The 19963-nt window shown below is 42.2% G+C and overlaps 1 protein-coding gene across 15 annotated transcripts in view; it reads left to right on the top strand.

Annotated features, from left to right (window-relative positions):
- Positions 1 to 19963, top strand: part of FTCDNL1 (formiminotransferase cyclodeaminase N-terminal like) — a 187358-nt gene that overhangs the window by 65763 nt on the left and 101632 nt on the right. Inside the window, exons 4-5 of one of the 15 annotated variants that reach the window (XR_002959289.2) lie at positions 1587 to 1745; positions 9738 to 18413. The exons of 13 other annotated variants lie outside the window; for them this stretch is intronic. Coding sequence is in view for 1 of the 2 variants with exons in the window: in XM_047444170.1 (XP_047300126.1) it covers positions 1587 to 1636 (50 nt within the window). In the remaining variant the exon portion in view is untranslated. Of the gene's footprint in view, positions 1 to 1586; positions 3150 to 9737; positions 18414 to 19963 lie in introns of those variants that run through there. One more of the 15 variants, XM_047444170.1, reaches the window with a different exon arrangement.

Raw genomic sequence — 19963 nt, 5'->3', positions numbered from 1 at the left:
AAAAATACAAAAAATTAGCTGGGAGTGGTGGCGGGCACCTGTAGTCCCAGCTACTCGGAGAGGCTGAGGCAGGAGAATGGCGTGAACCCGGGAGGTGGAGCTCACAGTGAGCTGAGATCGCACCACTGCACTCTGGCCTGGTCGACAGAGTGAGATTCTGTCTCAAAAAAAAAAAAAAAAGGAATTTGGAAGAGTTTAGAGACCCTGACAGAAAGAAAGGTATGTGATGATATATGACATTTCATATCCCCCATGTATGAGATCATGAAAACACTCAAGAATATGTCTAACCAAACAGTCAATAAAGCAGAACAGATAACTCAAGTTAGGGAAGATGAAAGAGCAAACGGGGTGAGCAACAAACCTTGTTAACTTCATTATATAGTTGGGAAATCCTAATTTTTAGTTTCAGGGGAATAGAATTAAATACTGTTACTATTTTTGTTCAAATGAATCTCAAACTTCCCCAGCAATTTGAGTTAACTGGGCATGTGTTCTGTGTGTTTTAAGTGTTCTCAGTCTACAAATCCCACTTTGATGGAGTCTTGAATGCTGTAGGCTATCCTTAGGCCACTTTTCTAGAAGCCCCTGTTTCCCCAACTCCTGGAAGAGTTAGTTGCTGATAACTCACAGATGAGTTTCTCCCCAGGAACTGTCCCCAGCCGGAGAGTCGCCTTACCCAGGCCACACTTCCTCCCTGGGGAGAGCCCACATCAATGACTGGCTGATGTATGGTACAAAGTCCCGCCTCAATTGGGGCAAGTCTGAGGGAGAGTCCCAGCTCCAACAGCTCCCAGTGAGATGACTGAGGCCTTCATAGCAAATACATGGCACTGAAAGTTCTCCCTCTGCCCAATCCTGCTTCCCTCACCCCGACAGGTATTGTTTTTGAGAGTCCTCCCCAATAAACCTCTGGCATGCAAATCTCAGAGCCTCAGAGTCTGTTTTCCAAGGAACACGATCTACAACAGGGATTTTAGAGCTGAATCCCATGGCACAGGTTGGCAGCAAGGACCCCCATCATTGGTGTGAGATAGAGCACTGAGAGCCCCTGGCATACAGTCTTGGTGCAATTCCTAATCTTTACCTGGTGCTGAGGAGGAATTACACATAGGTAGACCAGAATGCCCTGCTGGAGGAGTATCTCAGGCATTTGAGTGTAGTAATTACAAGGACTTTGGAATCAGATTGCTGTTGCTGGGAGTCTTTAATACATTGGAGCGAGACAAGTTTGGGGATAATCACCAAGAAGTCCTACTTGGTAGCATATAAAGACTCTTTCATCTCCTGTAAATGGAGGGTAGAAAAAGCTGAGGTTCAGGTCCCAAACTTAATTATAAGGGTAGTGAGCCATGAAGGAAGATTAAATTTTCAACCCTAAGAGGTTGGCTACCCTGAGGTTAGGGCCTCATTTGGGAATGGGAACCTGAGACTTGAAATAGGGACATGTGGAATGATGCACTTATCATCTTGAATCTTGAATCCCCAAATTCCTCTGAAGTCTCTGGGATCACTCCTCCCCATCAAAAGCTAGCATTGTAGCATGGTTGAACATGATACAAAATCCTTTTTGTTTTTTTTTTCAGCACAGAAAGACCCCACTCAGAAGGTACCACACCTGGCTGCATGGCTTTAGACCAGTAACTCACATGATGAACAATGTAATGTGTCTAGAGAAGTGCTGGGCTTGCTGAGGGAGGAGGAGAATTGTGTCCTGAAGGTGCTGCTGGACCCACCTAACATGGGTAGGCAGGAGCCAGGAGAGGCTGTATGGGACAGGAGCCTGAAAGTGCTGGTGTGATGAAGGTGGAACATAAATCTGGATAAGGGAGAATTTATTGATATGAGCACTGTTCTGATATAAAGAATTTAAAACCCTGACAGGGTCCCAGAAGATGGTGCTAATACCTAAGCTCTAGGAAGCTTGGAGATAATGATGGCCCATACCATGTAACGTTGAAATATTAGAATTATGATGGCCAATAATTGAAGGGTGGATCAAAAGACCCAAAGATGTATACGAGAACTTATTAACATTGGTGTCATTAAAGTAGGTATACAACCCCCCACTGCTAAATTTGACTGGCTTTAACAACAACAAAAAAGACTCAGAGATGTAGGCATACTAAAGTAGATATTCTACATAGGGCCAGAAAACTCACCAGCCAACTATGTTATGTGGGCTTGGAGAATACTTGTTTATTGTATAATGAGAAAAGTACTGGTAACAGGCCATGGCCTTGCAGTAAAGCTTAGTGGCGTCTTCTATTGTCTAGGGCTGACAGTAGGCAATGCTGCTTCAGAACCAGGCTCCCTGATGGCCCTGTATGATAGAATGCAGAGCAGGCACCATTATCATCATGAATAGCAAGTCAAAGTGATATCCAAGAGTGCCAAACCTACAGAAATCTGTAGAGATGGGCAGTCAGCAAGAGGGTTGCTTATTTTATACAATCAAAAGAAGTCAAGAATGGTTGACAATATGTTAAGGATGACCACCCCAAAAAAATCATAGTCCTTTGTTTAATATATAGAACCAAGTTTTTAGACATGGAAGCCACTAACTGAAGGAGTGGCTGGATCTGAAGGATGAAGGACCCTGCAAAATCGTGAATGACTATAGTATACAGTTATGAAACAATGATGGAAGAGCAAGTCCCAGACATTTTGAAGACTATTGAATAGAAGTAATGAGCTAGAAACTGAGATTGAAACTTGCTGTTTTAACATGGCCCCCTCTTAGGAGGATACGTGGAGACCAGGTGAGAAATGGAAGAGTTCTGGTTCAGGTCCACCAGTCCCACAAACCCACTGGGTGAGCATCTCTCTAGTCCCTCAGTATATTATTGCAGCGGACATAACTGCCAGTTAGTAGAACTCCCACATTGAATCTCAGAACTGTAGGTTAAGAACCTTCCCAGTAGAGAAGCTATGTGGAATCCTTTGAAACTTTCCCCCTCAATCAAAATAGTAAATTGAAAAGGGTCACAAAAGAACATAGTGGGGTGATGGAAATGTTCTATATTTTGATTGCAGTGGTACTGATTACATTCATTCATACGTTTGTCAAAAAGTCATCAAACTATGCACTCAAAATGAGTGCATTTTATTGTATGTAAATTATTCCTCAGTAAAGTTGATTAAAAATACCATTTTGCCCAAGTGTGACAGACATTGAAGAAGTAAAGAAATCATATCTCTAATTCAATAGTCAGCCTCCTGAAAAATCCAAATGGATCCTGGAGCATGAGAGTGAACTATCACAAATTCACAAATAGTGGCCCCAGTTGTAGCTCTTGTGCCAGTTGTGCTGTCTTTGGTAGAGCAAATTAACGACACCTCACAAAGGCCTGGCGCAGTGGCTCATGCCTGTAATTCCAGCACTTTGGGAGGCTGAGGCGGCAAGATCACGAGGTCAGGAGATCGAGACCATCCTGGCTAACATGGTGGAACCCTGTCTCTACTAAAAATACAAAAAAGGAATTAGCCAGGTGTGGTGGCGGGCGCCTGTAGTCCCAGCTACTCGGGAGGCTGAGGCAGGAGAATGGTGTGAACCCGGGAGGCGGAGCTTGCAGTGAGCCGAGATGGCGCCACTGCATGCTAGCCTGGGCGACAGAGCGAGACTCCTTCTCAAAACAAACAAACAAACAAACAAAAAACAAGAAAAAAAAACAATACCTCACAAACATGGTATGTGACATTTTGTCTGCCAAATATGTATTCTATTCTATCTCCTTCCACAGGAAAGAGAATCAGACATAGCTCACATGCTCTGGAGTGAACAAGAGAATGTATGGTTTTTCCCTAGGGCTATATTAACTTTCCCACCCCCTGCCATTCTGTAGTTCTAAAGAGATATGAACTGCCTAGATATTCTACAGAATATCTTACTGGTCTATTGTGTCAATCTATTATGACATTGTGCTAATTGGATTGGATGAAAGAGAAGCACCAAGTAGGTTCAAGGCTCCAGAAAGTGGAAATAATGCCTATAGATGATTCAGGAGCCCATTAAATTAGTAAATTTTATAGGGCTTCTGTGGTCTGGAAGATGACCTCCAAGGTAAAGGAAATGTTATTACATCATATACCTCCTGTCAGTAGGAAGGAAGCACAGAGCCTGAGGAGCTGCTTCATATTTTGGTGGTAGCATATTCCACGCTTGAGAATTTTGCCTTAGAGAAGAATAAATATGTACATATAGGTAATGGTTTATATCCTGGCTGTTTGGTCAAATGCCTGGAGGGAGAAATACTGGATAACCAAAGACAAGGAGGTCTGAGTAAGAGACATGATGGACCTGTGGGAGCGGACATGAAGTAAGAGAGCCTTGAATATCATATGAACATCTATGTGGAAGGAGAAAGTCATCAGCCAGCCTCTGACACCAGTCACTCGGTGCTGGCACAATGGGCATGTGAATAGAGTACATTGTGGCAGAGATTGTGTGCTTCCTGTCTCTATAATTCTAGGCAGTATGGGTTAGACACCTTGGTTCCCTAGAGGAAGAGCACTTCCATGAGGGGACACAAGAGAACAGCAGGCACAGAAAGAAGTGACTCTTCTGGCAGGGACATTTGATCCTGGTCACACCAGGAAAGGGCAGAGGAGCTGGTACTTAATGGTGACAGTGGAGAATGTATTTGGCAACAAGACAATTTGCTGTGGCATCTCTTGGTATTCCCCTGCCCACTTGTGATATCAAATAGACAAGTGCAGCAGCCATGCCCTAAGCTAGGGCTCAGAACCCCAAAAATGAGGGTGTGTGCTACTTTGCCAAGCTGTCTAGATCAGCGGAAGTGCTACCTAGGGACAAAGGGAACCTGGATTAGGTAATAGAGGAAGAGATGGGCTGGTTTTGAGACCAGCTGCAGAAGCAGGAAGAGAAGCATGGCAATTCATCCCTCTAGTTTTCATCTTTAATTTTTTTTCAGGAAGAGACCAGTGAGAATCCTGAAGAAACTGATCCCAGAACTTGTTACATGAAGCACATGGGGGTGAATGGCCTAAGAGTGGACTGAGGTGTGGGGTGCTGCCAGATTCCCATCAGCAGGAGTCATTCCACAGTCTGCTGGGAGTGCTGGCAGAACACAGCTCTTAACAGAGTCCCTCCTCAGGATTTGCCCTTGGTCAATTTCTTCTGTGAGGAAGGCAGCATCTAATGGTGGACTCAGGGATATAAGGGCCCAGCAGCCCCCTGCCCTATCCTAGCGAGGTGGGCCATCCGGGCTCCAGAGGTCCCTGTAGAGCTGGATAAGGTCTTTGCTGTGGCTGCATCCTAGTTCAGTTTCTCTGTCCAGTCCTGCTTCCTTCACTCGACAGGCACTTCTGAGAGCACCTCCTGCACACCAATCTTAACCACAGTCTGTTCTCCAGGGAACTCCATGGATTGCTATGTTTCTTGCTTTTTATTTCATCAGGGCTAGCTGTCGGCACGTGATAAGAGGTGGTACTTTTGCAGGTAGTGAAAGCAAAGTGTCTCATTTTGCAGGCTGTGGTCCTCTGCTGAGCCCCCTGGAAGAAGCCCTCAGTTGTCTTGCATGTTTGTTCTTTCAGAGTCAAGGAGGATACAGTCTGGCTGTTGAGCTCTTCTTAGGAGCGAGGACAACCCCATACACTTAGGACTGACGTCACCATCTCCATCTCAAGCACATTTGCTGGAGGCTGATGTCACCCTTATCACCACAGTTCCCTGCCCCTACCTGGGGTACACAAACCACACTGGGCCATGGTTTTCCAGGTTTGATTGTCCTTATGTCCTTGCTCCAGATCCCCTGACATTGCTCTCCAAGATTGGTGCAATCCCTGGAGGCACATCGCTTTTTTGCAGGGGTTCTCTCCTCTAAGAGTGTAGGGGAGCCCTTTGGTTCAAGAGAGGCAGATGGATTGAAATCATGAGTGCACATGTGGAAGGTGGAGGGGGAGCTGCATTCAGGTCACTGTGTTCCCAGAATCCTCTCCTATTTTCAGTCTTCCATTTTGCTTTCTGTTTCCCCATTTGCTTTTGAGATAACTTGTTTGTGTCCTGATTAGTTTGTGTGCTGATCTTCTGTATGAAATAATTGTCAGGTCTAGGTAACTGGCAAGGACACTTACACAATTGGTCCAGTAAATTTGGGAAGTTTAGCTTCCTTGGTAGAGTGAATAACTCTTCTAGAATATGTTTCACTTCAACTTTATAGTTCTAGTTAAAATTTTACTTGAGCAAATATCAATAGTCTTTTGCCCAGCCGATAGAGCCAATTTATAAGAAATATTGTCTGTGTATAGTTTGAATATAGTAGTGGGTATTTCATTTGGATTTCTCTTTACTTACATAATAAGGAAAACAGGACTTTTAAGTCTTTATTTTACCTCCAATTTTTGCATTTCAGAACTTGGAGAGGTACATTTTAAGACCGAGCAAATCTATCAATTATAATCTGATGGAAAAAGATACGACTGAGTGTTCCTCCTTACCAAAAAAGTTCTTGTGATTACTTATTTGGTACTCATGTCTACTGAGAAAGGCTTCCCTGAGCTATTTATTACTCATGCGCTTTATAGAGCATTACAGTCAGTAAATATCCTTTGCCTGTCACAAGAATTTGCAATTATACTAGAATGTCATCATTTCAGGAAACTATAAAGCAATGAACATGTTTATTTTCAGCCACAAAGGGAAAAAATATCCTGAGAACCACATTCTCTTGGCAGTTTGAGGCATTTATTAGAAAATCTGTAATTTCTTTTTGTAATCCCACACTCAGTGGGCATACCCTTTAATGGAGGTATGTCAAGTCTGCAGAATTATATAGTACATTCTAAACTTGCTTTGCTGGGAAAATAGGACTCATGGCTTAATTTATAGGCTTGCTGAGCTCACCACCCTGCTGGCTCCCTAGAAGGAGGAATTAAAGTCTCCTAATGGCTTAAAGGGGCCGAAAGTGCTCGCAGGTGCCCTTAGACCCTTGGAATGGTGGGCACTGAATTTCAGCATTTGTATTTTACCTTAAGGAATGTGTTCTCTGCAAAATAGATGACTTCAGGGATTTCTGCGTAATCCCACTGAGTAGAGATTGTCACCATTTTTCTGTGTTTCTACCATGTTCCCAGTTTTTTATTCCTCAGTACCTAGAAATGTACTGGATTTTAGGTGTTTGCTCCTTCAAACGTGCTTTCAGGAGGGAGAGAACAAGAATCATTGAGGTGTTAGTGAGATAATGCCTAGTTCCTCTCCAGACCTAAATATGTATCAGCTGGCCACATTTTGCTTGCTGGTTGTGATCTCCTAAATTATTCTTCTTTGTGTATGGTGATAGCTTCAACTGGGACCAGACTTCCTGTTTTGGATTACAGATTGAATGTTTTGGACCACCTGTTTTAAGTGGCAGGTGTCTGTGGTCAAACCTACTTTGGTTAATGTTTCTTCCTCTTGGTTCTCTACTTCTATCGTTATATTTTTTAATTCATTAAATGGAGTGAAATCTACATTTTCTTTTGAAACAGAGCCTGATTCTATTTTTTGATATCTTTTAAGCTGCACCCCTTCCTCTTGCCCTTGTGCCCCACATTTAGACATGCAGGATAAGAAAGCCTGCACGCTCCCTCCTTTGGCGCTGGAGGGAGGTTCAGGCCACATGAACCTCTGCCCTGAGTGGGAACGTTCCACCCCCTTGTCAGCCAAAAATCCCTAAGCAGCCTCTTTCCCAAGCTCTCTCAAACCATTTTTGGGTGTGCTTTAGAGTCACCCTTTTCCCCACAGAAAGCCTCATTATGTGAATGTGCTGGTTAATGTTATGTGTCAGCTTGGCCATAATATCCAGATATTTGGTCAAACATTCTTCTAATTGTTTCTGTGAAGGTATTCTTATGATGAGATTAATATTTACATCGGCCAACTTTAAGTAAAGCAGAGGACCCTCCATAGTTTGGGTGGGCCTCATCCAATCAGTTGAAGACTTTAATAGAAAAAGACTGACTTCCCTTAGAGAAAAGAAAATTCTGCTAACAAACCACTTTCAGATTTGAGCTGCAGCATCAACTCTTCACTGGGTCTCCAGCCTACTGGTTGACCCTGCAGAGTTTGGATTTTCTAGCTTCCACAATTCTGCAAGCTAATTTCTTTTCTCTCTTTCTTTCTTTTTTTCTTTTTTTGGAGACAGAGTCTTGCTCTGTCACCCAGGCTGGAGTACAGCAACGCGATCTTGGCTTGCTACAATCTCCGCCTCCTGGGTTCAAGAGATTCTCCTGCCTCAGCCTCCCACGTAGCTGGGATTACAGGTGCATGCCACTGCACCTGGCTAATTTTTGTATTTTTAGTGGAGACGGGGTTTCGCCATGTTGGCCAGGCTAGTCTCGAACTCCTGACCTCTGGTGATCCACCTGCCTCGGCCTCCCGAAGTGCTGGGATTACAGGGGTGAGCCACTGTACCTGGCCTCAATACACACACACACACACACACACACACACACACACACACACACACACATATACACACATCTCTGTGTGTGTGTGTGTGTATATATATATACATACACATATATTACACATGTATATGTGTCTATACATACGTATACATAGACACATATATGTGTGTGTGTATATATAGGGAATATATAATCATACACACACATCCTATTCATTCTGTTTCTCTGGAGTATACTAATACAGTGATTAACAAACTTTTCTGTACCTTTTTAGTGTTGTATGTGGAATCATCAGTCTTAATATCTGAACTCCAGTTTGGGTGGGGTCCACCCTCTATCTACGGAGTGTCTACCACACCTTAGTTTTAGCATATTTTGCTTTCATCTGCCAACCTTCCCTTGCACAGTTGACTTAGGGGTTGTGTGCAGTTTTGGTAATGTGAGATGCAGAGGAGGACCCGAGTGGTACCTTTGATGCCAAGATGTTTAGTTAAATCCCATACTTGTGCAGGCCACTTTCAGTGCTGGACTAGATATGCCATTGGATAAAAGGCAGCATCTCTGCCATTTTTCATGGGACATAAGCTGTTAGAATGATTAATTGGCAACACGAGTGCATTAAAGTAGTGTGATTAAAACTGAGATGGATGTTGTGAGGTGTTGTTTTGGGGATGTATGTAAGCCTTAGCTGAATTGTTCTTGTTGGAGCTAGATGTCAGACATCTGTTTCCTTGTTCTCATTATATGACAGATATGGCCCTGAAACCTAAGGTTCTTTGGGCAATATCAGTTTCTGGCTTTCCTATCTTATCTCAGGATTCCAAGAGGCCATGGCCACTTAAAAGGAGATCCTGGCCAAGGTGGGTGGATTACGAGGTCAGGAGATTGAGACCATCCTGGCTAACAAGGTGAAACCCCATCTCTACTAAAAATACAAAAATTAGCCAGGCGTGGTGGCGGGCGCCTGTAGTCCCAGCTACTCAGGAGGCTGAGGCAGGAGAATGGCGTGAACCTGGGAGGTGGAGCTTGCAGTGAGCTGATATCGCGCCACTGCACTCCAGCCTGGGCAACAGAGCGAGACTCCGTCTCAAAAAAAAAAAAAAAAAAAGGAGATCCTGCTACTGTACCAGCCTGCTCTGAGCCCCGGTTTCTTTATAAACTAGACATGATCCTTATTTCATTGAGTGGTTGTGAGGGACAAATGAAGAAACATATGCAAGAGATTAGTACCGAGCCTGGAACCTATAAGGTCCTCAAGAGGTACTCATTTCATTGGCTTTCTCTTTCTTTTTTCCTTCTTAAGTTCCTTTCTTTATGTTCTAAACTAGGTTGTGGAAAGAGGGGGAACAGTGGAGAATGAGTGGATATTACCCAGTGCTGCCATTATTAGCAGCAGCTAGGCACATGAGCGTGGATATCTGGAGCAGAAAAAGGAAGACTGGAGTCACTGACTCAGATCTAAGCCACTGATTTCCCAAGCTGCAGGAATGTTGGAGACTGAAACTGTGCAGCTGAGTCCCCACAGGAAATTGCTCCTGGCCTTAACGGAGTTGCTTCCCTCAAGTTTTCATCAGTTCCCAGGGAAATGACTGGTCAGTGTAAGGAAACAAAGGCCAGCCTCCTTGCCTCAATTTGGGCCAACTCTGATGGGCCGTTATATCTGAAGACATCTCAAGAAGTCTGTGGGGGATTGGCTGAGTCTGCTACAACAACATTGTTTTCAACTTTTCCTTCTGCTTAATATTACTGGCTTCACTCCCTCACACGTATCACTCCTGAGCATTCTCTAATAAACGTTCTCCAAAACAGGGGTTGCAGGCTTAGAATCTAATCACCAAAGCATTTGGTGTCAGGAGTGGTTGGAGAACGCAGACAATGAATGTGATTTTGGAGCTGCATTACTTGCTGGCCAGCTGGCAATATGGAAACTATTGCTGGTGTCAGGTGAAACATGGAAGATCCCTGGCATTCTATAGCACTGAAACTATTATTACTTGATCAGTGGTGAACAGGGATGGGATAGCAGTAGAAGGAATGCACTTAAATATCTCAGGGTTTGTTAGATTCTGAGAGGACTGGTACTTATGAGGATGATGGAATTGAATGGCTGTTGTGGACTGCAATCTCATGCCCTGGAGAAAGACAGTGAATGACTTTGAGTCAGTAATCAGTAATTTGAGAGATACTGTGAATGTCAGAGGAGCTCTTTAGGAACATATAAAGAGATTCTTATCTCTGTGATCAAGGACAGAAAAACCTGAGGGTCAGTTCTAGGCCATAATTTTCAGGATGGCAAAGCTCCATAGAAGGTTGAAGTCTCAGATGCAGAAAGTCTATCATGTCAAGGCCATGCCCTGGTTGAGAGTCTTAGAAAGGGGATACCTGGGTGGGTGCACTAAAAAAAACCCTTAAAACCCGTTTTGCCTGGAACTCTCTGAGCTGGTAAATGTTCAAGGCTAGCATGCCCACCCCCTAAAGCCCCCACCATTAAAAACTGCAGAGGCCTGTGCTTTGTAAGACAACATGTACCCCTCAGGAATTACCTCCACCACCCGTCCTGGCCTAGTATGAGACAAATAGAGTCAATTCCAACATAATCTGTCCAGGAAAGATGGAGCCTGCTAAGGGAGGAAAGGGACAATATAATAAATCAGCTGTGACACCTGGCCACATAATCCATATGGGACTGGATCCTGAAGATGCTGAATTTGTAGGGCAGAGCATGAGGTTGGGTAAGGGAGAGCATATTGATAGTGGACCACTGTCCTAGTCTACAGTATTTAATGCCCTGACAAAAATGCTGGTTGCATTTGCACCTTCTAACACACGGCTAGGATGGCTCTTGGAAGACTGGAGAAGGTTATGACCCACACTAAATAGAAAAGCCAGAACTTTTGTGTAGAAGATGGTAGAAAAGGACCAAAAGGCCCCAAGGATGAGTACATTCAAGAATGGATGTATTACAAAACATTGCAAATACTCCCAGCTGACTACATTCCAGGGACAGGACAGAGGACACTCTATTGACTAAAGTGATATGTAATGCATCACTCAGACAGGGACCAGCATCACTGAGAAGTTCAGTGGAGGCTTTCTCTGTAAGCCAGGGACCTGCTGCTAGAGAACTGGGCTCCCTCACTACAACAGGGATGATGGGATCCTGAAATCATAAAGGCCAGGTGGTGGTGCTTAATATCAGAAGCGAGATGCAATGCAATTATCATAATGAAAAGCAATGTCATAATAGTAGTTGGGGGGATGTGACCCACACAGAGCCATGGAGATGGTTTATTGGACATAGCAAGATAGATGGACAGTCATCAAGGGAATCACTCAATCTATACAATTAAAAGAAATCAAGGAGGCTAAGTGCAGGTGTCCCTCTAAAGAGTCACAGTCCCTTATCAGTGTCTGGACATGAGCCACTTCTCAGACTGGATGCCACTGACTGAGGGAGAGGCCAGATCTCCAGGAGGAAGGACCTGCAAAATCATGGCAAATATATATGACAATGACTCCTACAGATTTTCCCCAAAGGGACCTATGGCCATTTATTCAGGTAACCTTACAATGGGGAAAGAGTAGTACTCAGACACTTGTGAGTACTTCTGGATACAGGGTCAAGGTAGCACTGATACCTAGGGAGGTAAAGGGTTATTGTGGCCCTCCTAAGAATGGGGGTAGATGGGGACTGGTAATAAAATGGAGTCCAAGCCTAGGCCCAACTCTTAGTGTATGTTTGTGTATATGCATATACGTATAGTTGGGATATATATGCTGATAGCTAGTGAAACCCTCCACATTGATCCTTTGGCTTGAGAGTGAAGAGTTACCATAGTGGGGAAGAATTTGAAACTGTCCCCACCCCTATTACAACAAGATAATAAATAAAAGGCAATGTTTTGTTTAGGGGAAATGGCAGCAATTAATACCAGCCTTACAGGGGTAGTGAGCCTCATCATATCCCCATTAAATTAATCAGTTTCTGGCCAAACAAAAAAGACAAGAAAACCACAAACAAACAAAACAGGTTAACAGTTGACTTCTGCCAACTCAACCAGGTAGTAGCTCCACTTGCAATTACTGCGCCAGAGTAGTATCTTACCCAGCCAATGAACACAGCTAATTATTAATACAGGGCGTGTGGCTACAGATCTGGCAAATGTGCTCTTTCCCATCTTTCTCAGAAAGGAGAAGCGGAAGTGGTTTACGTTCACATGGAACAGACGACAGAATACATTTAAGGTCTTATCTTGAGGCTATGTTAACTCTTCCTTTTCTGTGATAATATAATCTGAAGGGACCCAAATCATCTGAATGTCCTGAACATCATCACATTGATCCACTATATTGATGGCATTGTGTTCATTAGACTGGATGACCAAGAAGGGGCAGATGTATTGGAGGCCTTGGTAAGACACGTGCTTCAGAGGGTGGGAGATAAACCCCACGATGATTCAGAGTGTGGGGTCATGGGGAGGATTAGGGCTCCTGTGTAGATATAGAGCATACTGACATTTACTTAACCCCTACTATATGTCATACCTTGGAAATGTGTCCCCTGCTCTTTGGGACCCTGACAGAGAAAACTAGAGTTAAGTGCCCAGAAAGAGGAAGCCCAACGTGTCACAAGATGATTTCAATTACAGCAGTTGTCTCCCTTATCTGCAGTTTCGCTTTCCGAAGTTTTGGTTACTGTTAGTCAACGGTGGTGCAAAAACATTAGGTGGAAAGTTCCAGAGATAAACAATTTATAAGCTTTAAGTTGTATGCTACTCTAAGTAGTGTGATAAAATCTCCTGCCATCCTGCTTTGTCCTGCTCCAGATGTGAATCATCCCTTTGTCTAGCATATCCACACTGTCTATGCCACATGCTCATTAGTCACTTAGAAGACACCTTGGTTATCAGATTGACTCTCACAGTATCGCAGTGTTTGTGTTTAAGAAACCCTTATTCTGCTTAATAATGGCCCCAAAGTGTAAGAGCAGTGATGCTGGCATATTGTTATAATTGTCCAGTTTTATTATTAGCTACTGCTGTTGATCTCTCACTGTATCTAATTTATAAATTAAACTTTATCATGGGTATGTATATATAGGATAAAACATAGTGTATACAGAGCTTGGTACTATTAGAAGATTCAGGCATCCACTGGAGTCTTGGAACATATCTCCCATGGATAAGGGGGGAAGTAGTATATTCTAATTCTACTGCTTTAATTGTAGGTAGTATTCTCTTAAAATCTAAATGATATACAACGCCAGTTCTCTACAAGAAAATCATAACATTGCTTGCTGTCATTGGGTGGTATGGAAATGATCTTTTGCCTAGAGTTTATAAAGAATCTTTTACTTAATGAGCTAAATGACCATGAATAATACATTTAAATTATGACATACTTTTCCTATTTACCATTTGCTTTTGTTCTTTTATACCATAAGAAATTAATGAGGCTGAGAGTCTTAAACTGTGTTTTATGTATTTAAAATAATTATGATTAAGGGTCTTTTACACATGTGTATTTATCATGAATTCTTGTTCAAAGAACTATTTTTTATGGTTCAAGAAGCAAAATTAATTTAAATCAGCAGCTAATGCACAGTTCTCAATTCCATGAGTCAACTGGATACTGCTGACATTTTTATATGGAGCCTCCTTTAATGTAATAAAAAGTATGGCACTAAATGGTGTCTGATATGGGAAGGGGTAGAATACTCATTGTCTGAAACCCACATGGCGATGTTCTGGGTCATGTCGTGAGCCATAGGTAGCACTCCGTTGGCTTCATGTTCTCTATTGTCTTATAGTTGACTCGTAGTGACAATGGAATGGTGTCATCAGTTGCTAATTTTTACATTCATATGTTGCAAAACTAAGGTGGCTAATCCATGAATGCGCATGCCTGTCATTCTCTATCAGAATAGCAAATAAAATTCATTATTGCATGCTCAGAATCCCTAACATAAGCCAGTAAAAGCATTACAAGGAACTTGCCTTCAGTGCTGTATACATGTACTGTGAGCTTGCATTTGGTCTGAGTATTCAGGACTCCAGGGCTCAGCCTCTAACAGGGCTGGATTCCTTAGCAGAGTAAGAGCTTACGGCTCTGTGCAGCTCTCTCTGTGCATCTGCTGGCAGCCAGGTGCTCCTTGTAGGACAGAGTATGTAATTATGAATATTTTAAATGTGGGTAGTTGATCCCTTTTCTATTCAGCATGTAGCTGTGAGTGAAGCGGCAGACAATGGCCAGAATACTCTTTGTGTTTGCCTGAATTTATCTGAGAATACTGAAGTAAAGAGCCAAAGGGCTCTATTCTCCCCTTCCCAGATACACAGGGAAGAACAGAATCCAGTCTTTGTCTGGGTGGTTAATTTTTAAAATGATATGTGAAGGATAATGCATGAATAACTAACAGCCCTGGGGGGCTCAGGAAAATTGTATTTCACCAGGAGGAACAAATATATGCTGTTTTTGAAATGGAAGGGCTATACTAAGGATTCAGATATGAAGAAGTAGATTTTTGATAAGAAGATATTGAGATACATAAAACTGGTATCAGAGGCAGCAAGGAATGTAATAAAAATATTCTGGCTTTGAGCCCCAGATGTGCCACTCACTGACTATGCGATGTTGGACTTTAGGTCATCTCTCCAAGCCTTAGTTTTCTCATCACCATAATAGGGAGATTAGGCCAGATTATCTCCCTAGTTTCTTCTTAGTCGACTTACCTGTGATCCTGTGACATGCTCTCTTAAGATAAATGTGCACTCACACCTCTTTTCAAGGTGTGATCGCTAAGGAGTGACTGCTACAGCTCAAGAAAGACTTTTGTTGAGTGCCTAATGTTGAGCCAACACAGGATCAAGCAGTAAGGGTATAAGCAAAAAAAGTTATCAACTGTACTGGTGGTGCTGAGATGAAGAAGAGGCCTGAAACAGAGGACAAATTGGGAGCTGTAGAGTATGAGCTTAGAGAACATCAGATGGGAGACGTCAGTGTAGTTGCACAAGCATGAGGATGAGATTTGAACGAAAATGTGAGCTGAGCTTTAGAGGATAGATAGGATTTGGGTAGGTTAAAAAAAAAAAGAATAGATCATTCCTGGTTGGAGGCTGAATCAGTCAGGTTCCTTGTAGGAAACAGATGATTCAATCAAACTGGGTACTGAGAAGAGTTTAGTAAAGAGATCATTTACACAGGTGTTGCCAGGGCTGAGGAAAACCAACACAGGTGGTGCTGTACCCTGGGCTAGTGACAGTGGTGAGCCATGACCACCCTGAAATAGCAAGGGGTAGGCGTGGGGACCACAACCAGACCTGACTGTCTGAAGGGAGGAGAAGCCTTCAGTAGAAGGATTGTTGGAGACCAACAGATTGCACACTGGCAAGCAGGAATCGGGGAAAAAAATGCCCAAATATCTTTCTTCCCTCTCCTTGTATTAGTCTGTTCTCACACTGCTACTAAAGACATACTTGAGACTGAGTAATTTATCAAGGAAAGAGATTTAATTGACTCACAATTCCACATGGCTGGGGGGGCCTCAAAATCATGGTGGAAGGCAGATGAGGAGCAAAGTCATGTCTTACATGGTGGCAGGCAAGAGGACTTGTGCAGGGGAACTCCCATTTTATCAAACTATCAGAGCTCATGAGACTTATTGACTAGTAGAACAGTAAGGGGGAAACTGCCTCCGTGATTCAATTATCTCCGCCTGGCCCACCCCTGACATGTGGGGATAATTACAATTCAAGGTGAGATTTGGGTGGGAACACAGCCAAACCACATCACTCCTTCAATTTTTTTCTGGTAGATAGTGAAGGTCAGCACCTGTGGGAAAGGATGAAAAATGGGTCTGAAGAAGCAAATGGAAGAACTCAGCAGAGCAGGAGATGTGAATGCTCACAGAGATACAGCTAGAGACCAGCATGAATGGTGGAAGTCTCTTGGTAGAGTCTTGCAAGTTGGGAAGAGAAATCACACATGTTCCGCCCCTGAGCAGTGTCCCCTTGATTGCAGCACCGTATTAGATTGCTGCAGGAGTGTGGGTGTGTGTGAAAGAGCTTGCAGAACACCCCCTAACATTCCTGGCCATGGTGAGGGTGCCCACGATGCCCACCCATCCAAACGTTTCCTTTGTGGAGAGACAAACTTAAATAGCTCCTCTCTTCTCATTCTTACCTCCAATCTCAGCAGCCAAGTACGTGTTAAAGAGGGAGGGAATACTGGAGCCTCAGCAAATAATGATACAAGTAGAACTCTTGCTTTTCACATGAGAACTCACCCTGGTAGGCCTCCAATGCTCCATTTCACACCTTGCTGTCATCCATCTAGAACTTGCCTTCTCTTGGCTTGTCCTGGCACACCAGGTACCTGCCATTACTCTTTAATTGGTCTGCTTTTCCTTCCTTATTCTTCCTTCTGATTTCCTAATTAAAAAAAAAAACTAATCTCAACTATGGGAAAAGGGGAAATGTCAAATACAAAGTTTACCTTCTTCATGATTTTGCTCTGGGCCATTAAAACTAAGTGGGGTTGTAGATCCTTTCTTCAGAAAGGCATTGAGATGACTGTAAAATGGCTCATTTGTCTGGAAAGTAGTAAATGTAGTAGTATATAAAAACATAAAATGATGTAGAAGACTTCTTTACTCCTTGTTGCCCCTTTAATCTAGTAATAACTCACGGGGGAATATGTGGTGTTCTTATAAGAAGCTCATCTTAAGCATAAGAACCTCATATTAAGAATTTTTTGGCATGCAAATATAAGAACCCAATGCAATCTTTTACACAGGATTGATTTTGGTTTTTGTTAAGAATTTGCAACTTCCAGAATATATTTTGGAATCAGTATAATTAATTCCCATGTCTTACATCTCTTTTCATATTTCTAAAAGTCTATACTTTCTCGAGAATATGTATAATGAGGCACAATACTCTTCACTGTCTGTATTGTACTCTACTTATCAAGCCTAGAAATGGGCTAAATGTTAAATATGTATGTTTCAGGTTATACAGAACTCAATAATGTCAGTTAATTGAGAAATTTCTTACTTTGTCCTTTTAATTCATTGAAATAAAACTCATGCTTTGCTTATCTGGAGGTTTTAAAAGTTAGATTGTGCAAAACTCATTGTCTTAGTCTATTCCTGTTGCTATTGCAAAATACTTGAGACTGGGTGATATATAATAACAGAAACCTACTTCTCACAGTTTTTGAGGCTGGGAAGTCCAAGATTAAGGTTCTGACAGATTTGGTGTCTGGTGAGGACTTGCTCTCTGCTTCCAAGACCATGTCTGTTGCTGCTTCTTCTGGAGGTGACAGATGCTATGTTCTCACGTGGTAGAAGAGAGAAGAGGTGCAAGGACCAAGCAGCTCTCTGAAGCCTGTTTTATAAGGATATTTATCCCATTCACGAATGCAGATCCCCCATGGCCTAATCACCTCCTGAAGTCCCTACCTCTTAATACCATCACCTTGGGGTTTACATTCCAACATATGAACCTTGGAGGGGACGCATATATTTAAACCATGGCATTAATTAATGCAGTTCTTTTATTGTCCTAAAAGATTGAGTTAATACCAATAGATGAAAGTTAATTCAAACGAAGCTGTCTCAAATAAAGTAAGATGATAACTGGAGGGATTCAAGTAGAAGCTGACTGTTCTTGGCTGTTGTGAAATGAGAGGATTCAGCTATTTATGAAAAGATCTGGCTTCAAGGGCTTCTAAGCCCTGAGTTCTCAGACTACCTGAAAACTGAAACTGATAAGCTCACTCACAAATACTCAGAGAAACATGGTACCTGGTATGGAAAAGAATCTGTTTTTTCAAGAATCTTTTTGTTTTCTAAAAGATTATTTGGCACTTTACTTAGAAATTTTTATAGAAAATCATTTTGATTTTATAAACTTCTTACTTCTCACCCTGGCATTGTCATCTTGATCAAATATAACTTTTTTATATTGGGGTCTTTTTATTATTAAATCCTATTTGTATCAGAATGGCTTGATCTCGATATTTAGTACTAATCCAAAATATTGCTTTGTTTTTTCTTACTTCCCCTACCTCAATAACCAGAAATATTGTATATTTTTAAGGCCTTTTTGTATGTTCCTCCCCACACATTTCAGTAAATCATTATTGTCTAGACACCAAGAGGAAGTCAGAAAACATTGCTGGAAGTGAAAATTCTTTAGGGATTTTCATTCAATACTAGGGCAATTAAATCGGACATATTATTGATCAATAGAGAGTACTTTCTTTACTATCTGCATACATAGCAGTCACATCATTAACCATCAAGCTGACGTTTAAGTTCAAGGCCACATAAACCAAAAAAGCACTGTTTTGTACATAGCTACCTGATCTGTCTTTGGAAAATACTTAACACTTTACTTAGAAAATGAAATATTACATTCTATATTAAAGCCACAATTAATATAGTATGTTGTGATTATCTACATATTTCTGATTCCTAAATTATATGGCAGAAACAAAATTATCAAAGTATAACTACTCTGCTCATTTAATCAGAAGATGTAGGCCTAAAAATGTGTTCCTTATGGAATTCAAATCTGCCATAGCTTAAGGGAAACCATGCTGAAGGACAGTGGGTGTCTGTTCAAAGGCCAATATGGGAAGGCTATGATGATGTCTCAGTTCAGTTTACAATTTATATATCCTGTCAGCTTTAAGTTAGATAATCTTTACAAGTGTTTATTTGTGGTGGCTACACATTATTTCAAAATTTGTGCCTAATGGGAAGCTGTGTTAATATTATTAAAATTGCACTGTTCTCAAACCACACAATTTAATACTGTGTGCAATTCAAATTTATATTTGCACTTATAATGCCACTTTATTGCATTGAGAGCACTTCCAGCTTGACATTTTAAGGAGGTTTTCACACTGGCCTGCCCAGGTTGTCTGTACACTGTTGAACTGATGGGGGTGAGGGGAATGAGGAAAGTAGCAAAGATAGTGAAGCTTGATTGACTTATTTAAGAAAAGACTTATTGCCACTAAGAGTGAGGTGTGCCTATGTGTGTGGACCTGTAGTTAGAACAAACAGTGACAGAGGGACAGAGAAGGAGAAAGAGACCCAGAGAGAAAGCAGGGTGTCAAGGCAGGAGAATCACAACCACAGCAGGTGGGCTGGAGTCAAAAAAGAATGAAGGCCAGACACAGTGGCTCACACCTGTAATCCCAGTACTTTGGGAAAGTGAAGCAGGTGGATTGCCTGAGCTCAGGAGTTTGAGACCGGGCTGGGCAACACGGTGAAACCCGGTCTCTACCAAAAATACAAAAAATAAGCCAGGCATGATAGTGTACGCCTGTGGTCCCAGCTACTCGGGAGGTTGAGGTGGGAGGATCGCTTGAACCTGATAGGTTGCTGTGAGCTGAGATCACGCCCCTGCACTCCAACCTAGTGAGACGCCATCTCCAAAAAAAAAAAAAAAAATATATATATATATATATATATATAATGAAGACAAAAAAGAGATGCCACGTGGTAGTAGTTTCAGGCTAGGATTTCCTTTTTGCCTCCTTT

The sequence above is a fragment of the Homo sapiens genome, chromosome 2 (assembly GCF_000001405.40).
Source record: "Homo sapiens chromosome 2, GRCh38.p14 Primary Assembly".
Classification (NCBI taxonomy): domain Eukaryota; kingdom Metazoa; phylum Chordata; class Mammalia; order Primates; family Hominidae; genus Homo; species Homo sapiens.
This window is presented reverse-complemented; position numbering and strand designations above follow the sequence as displayed.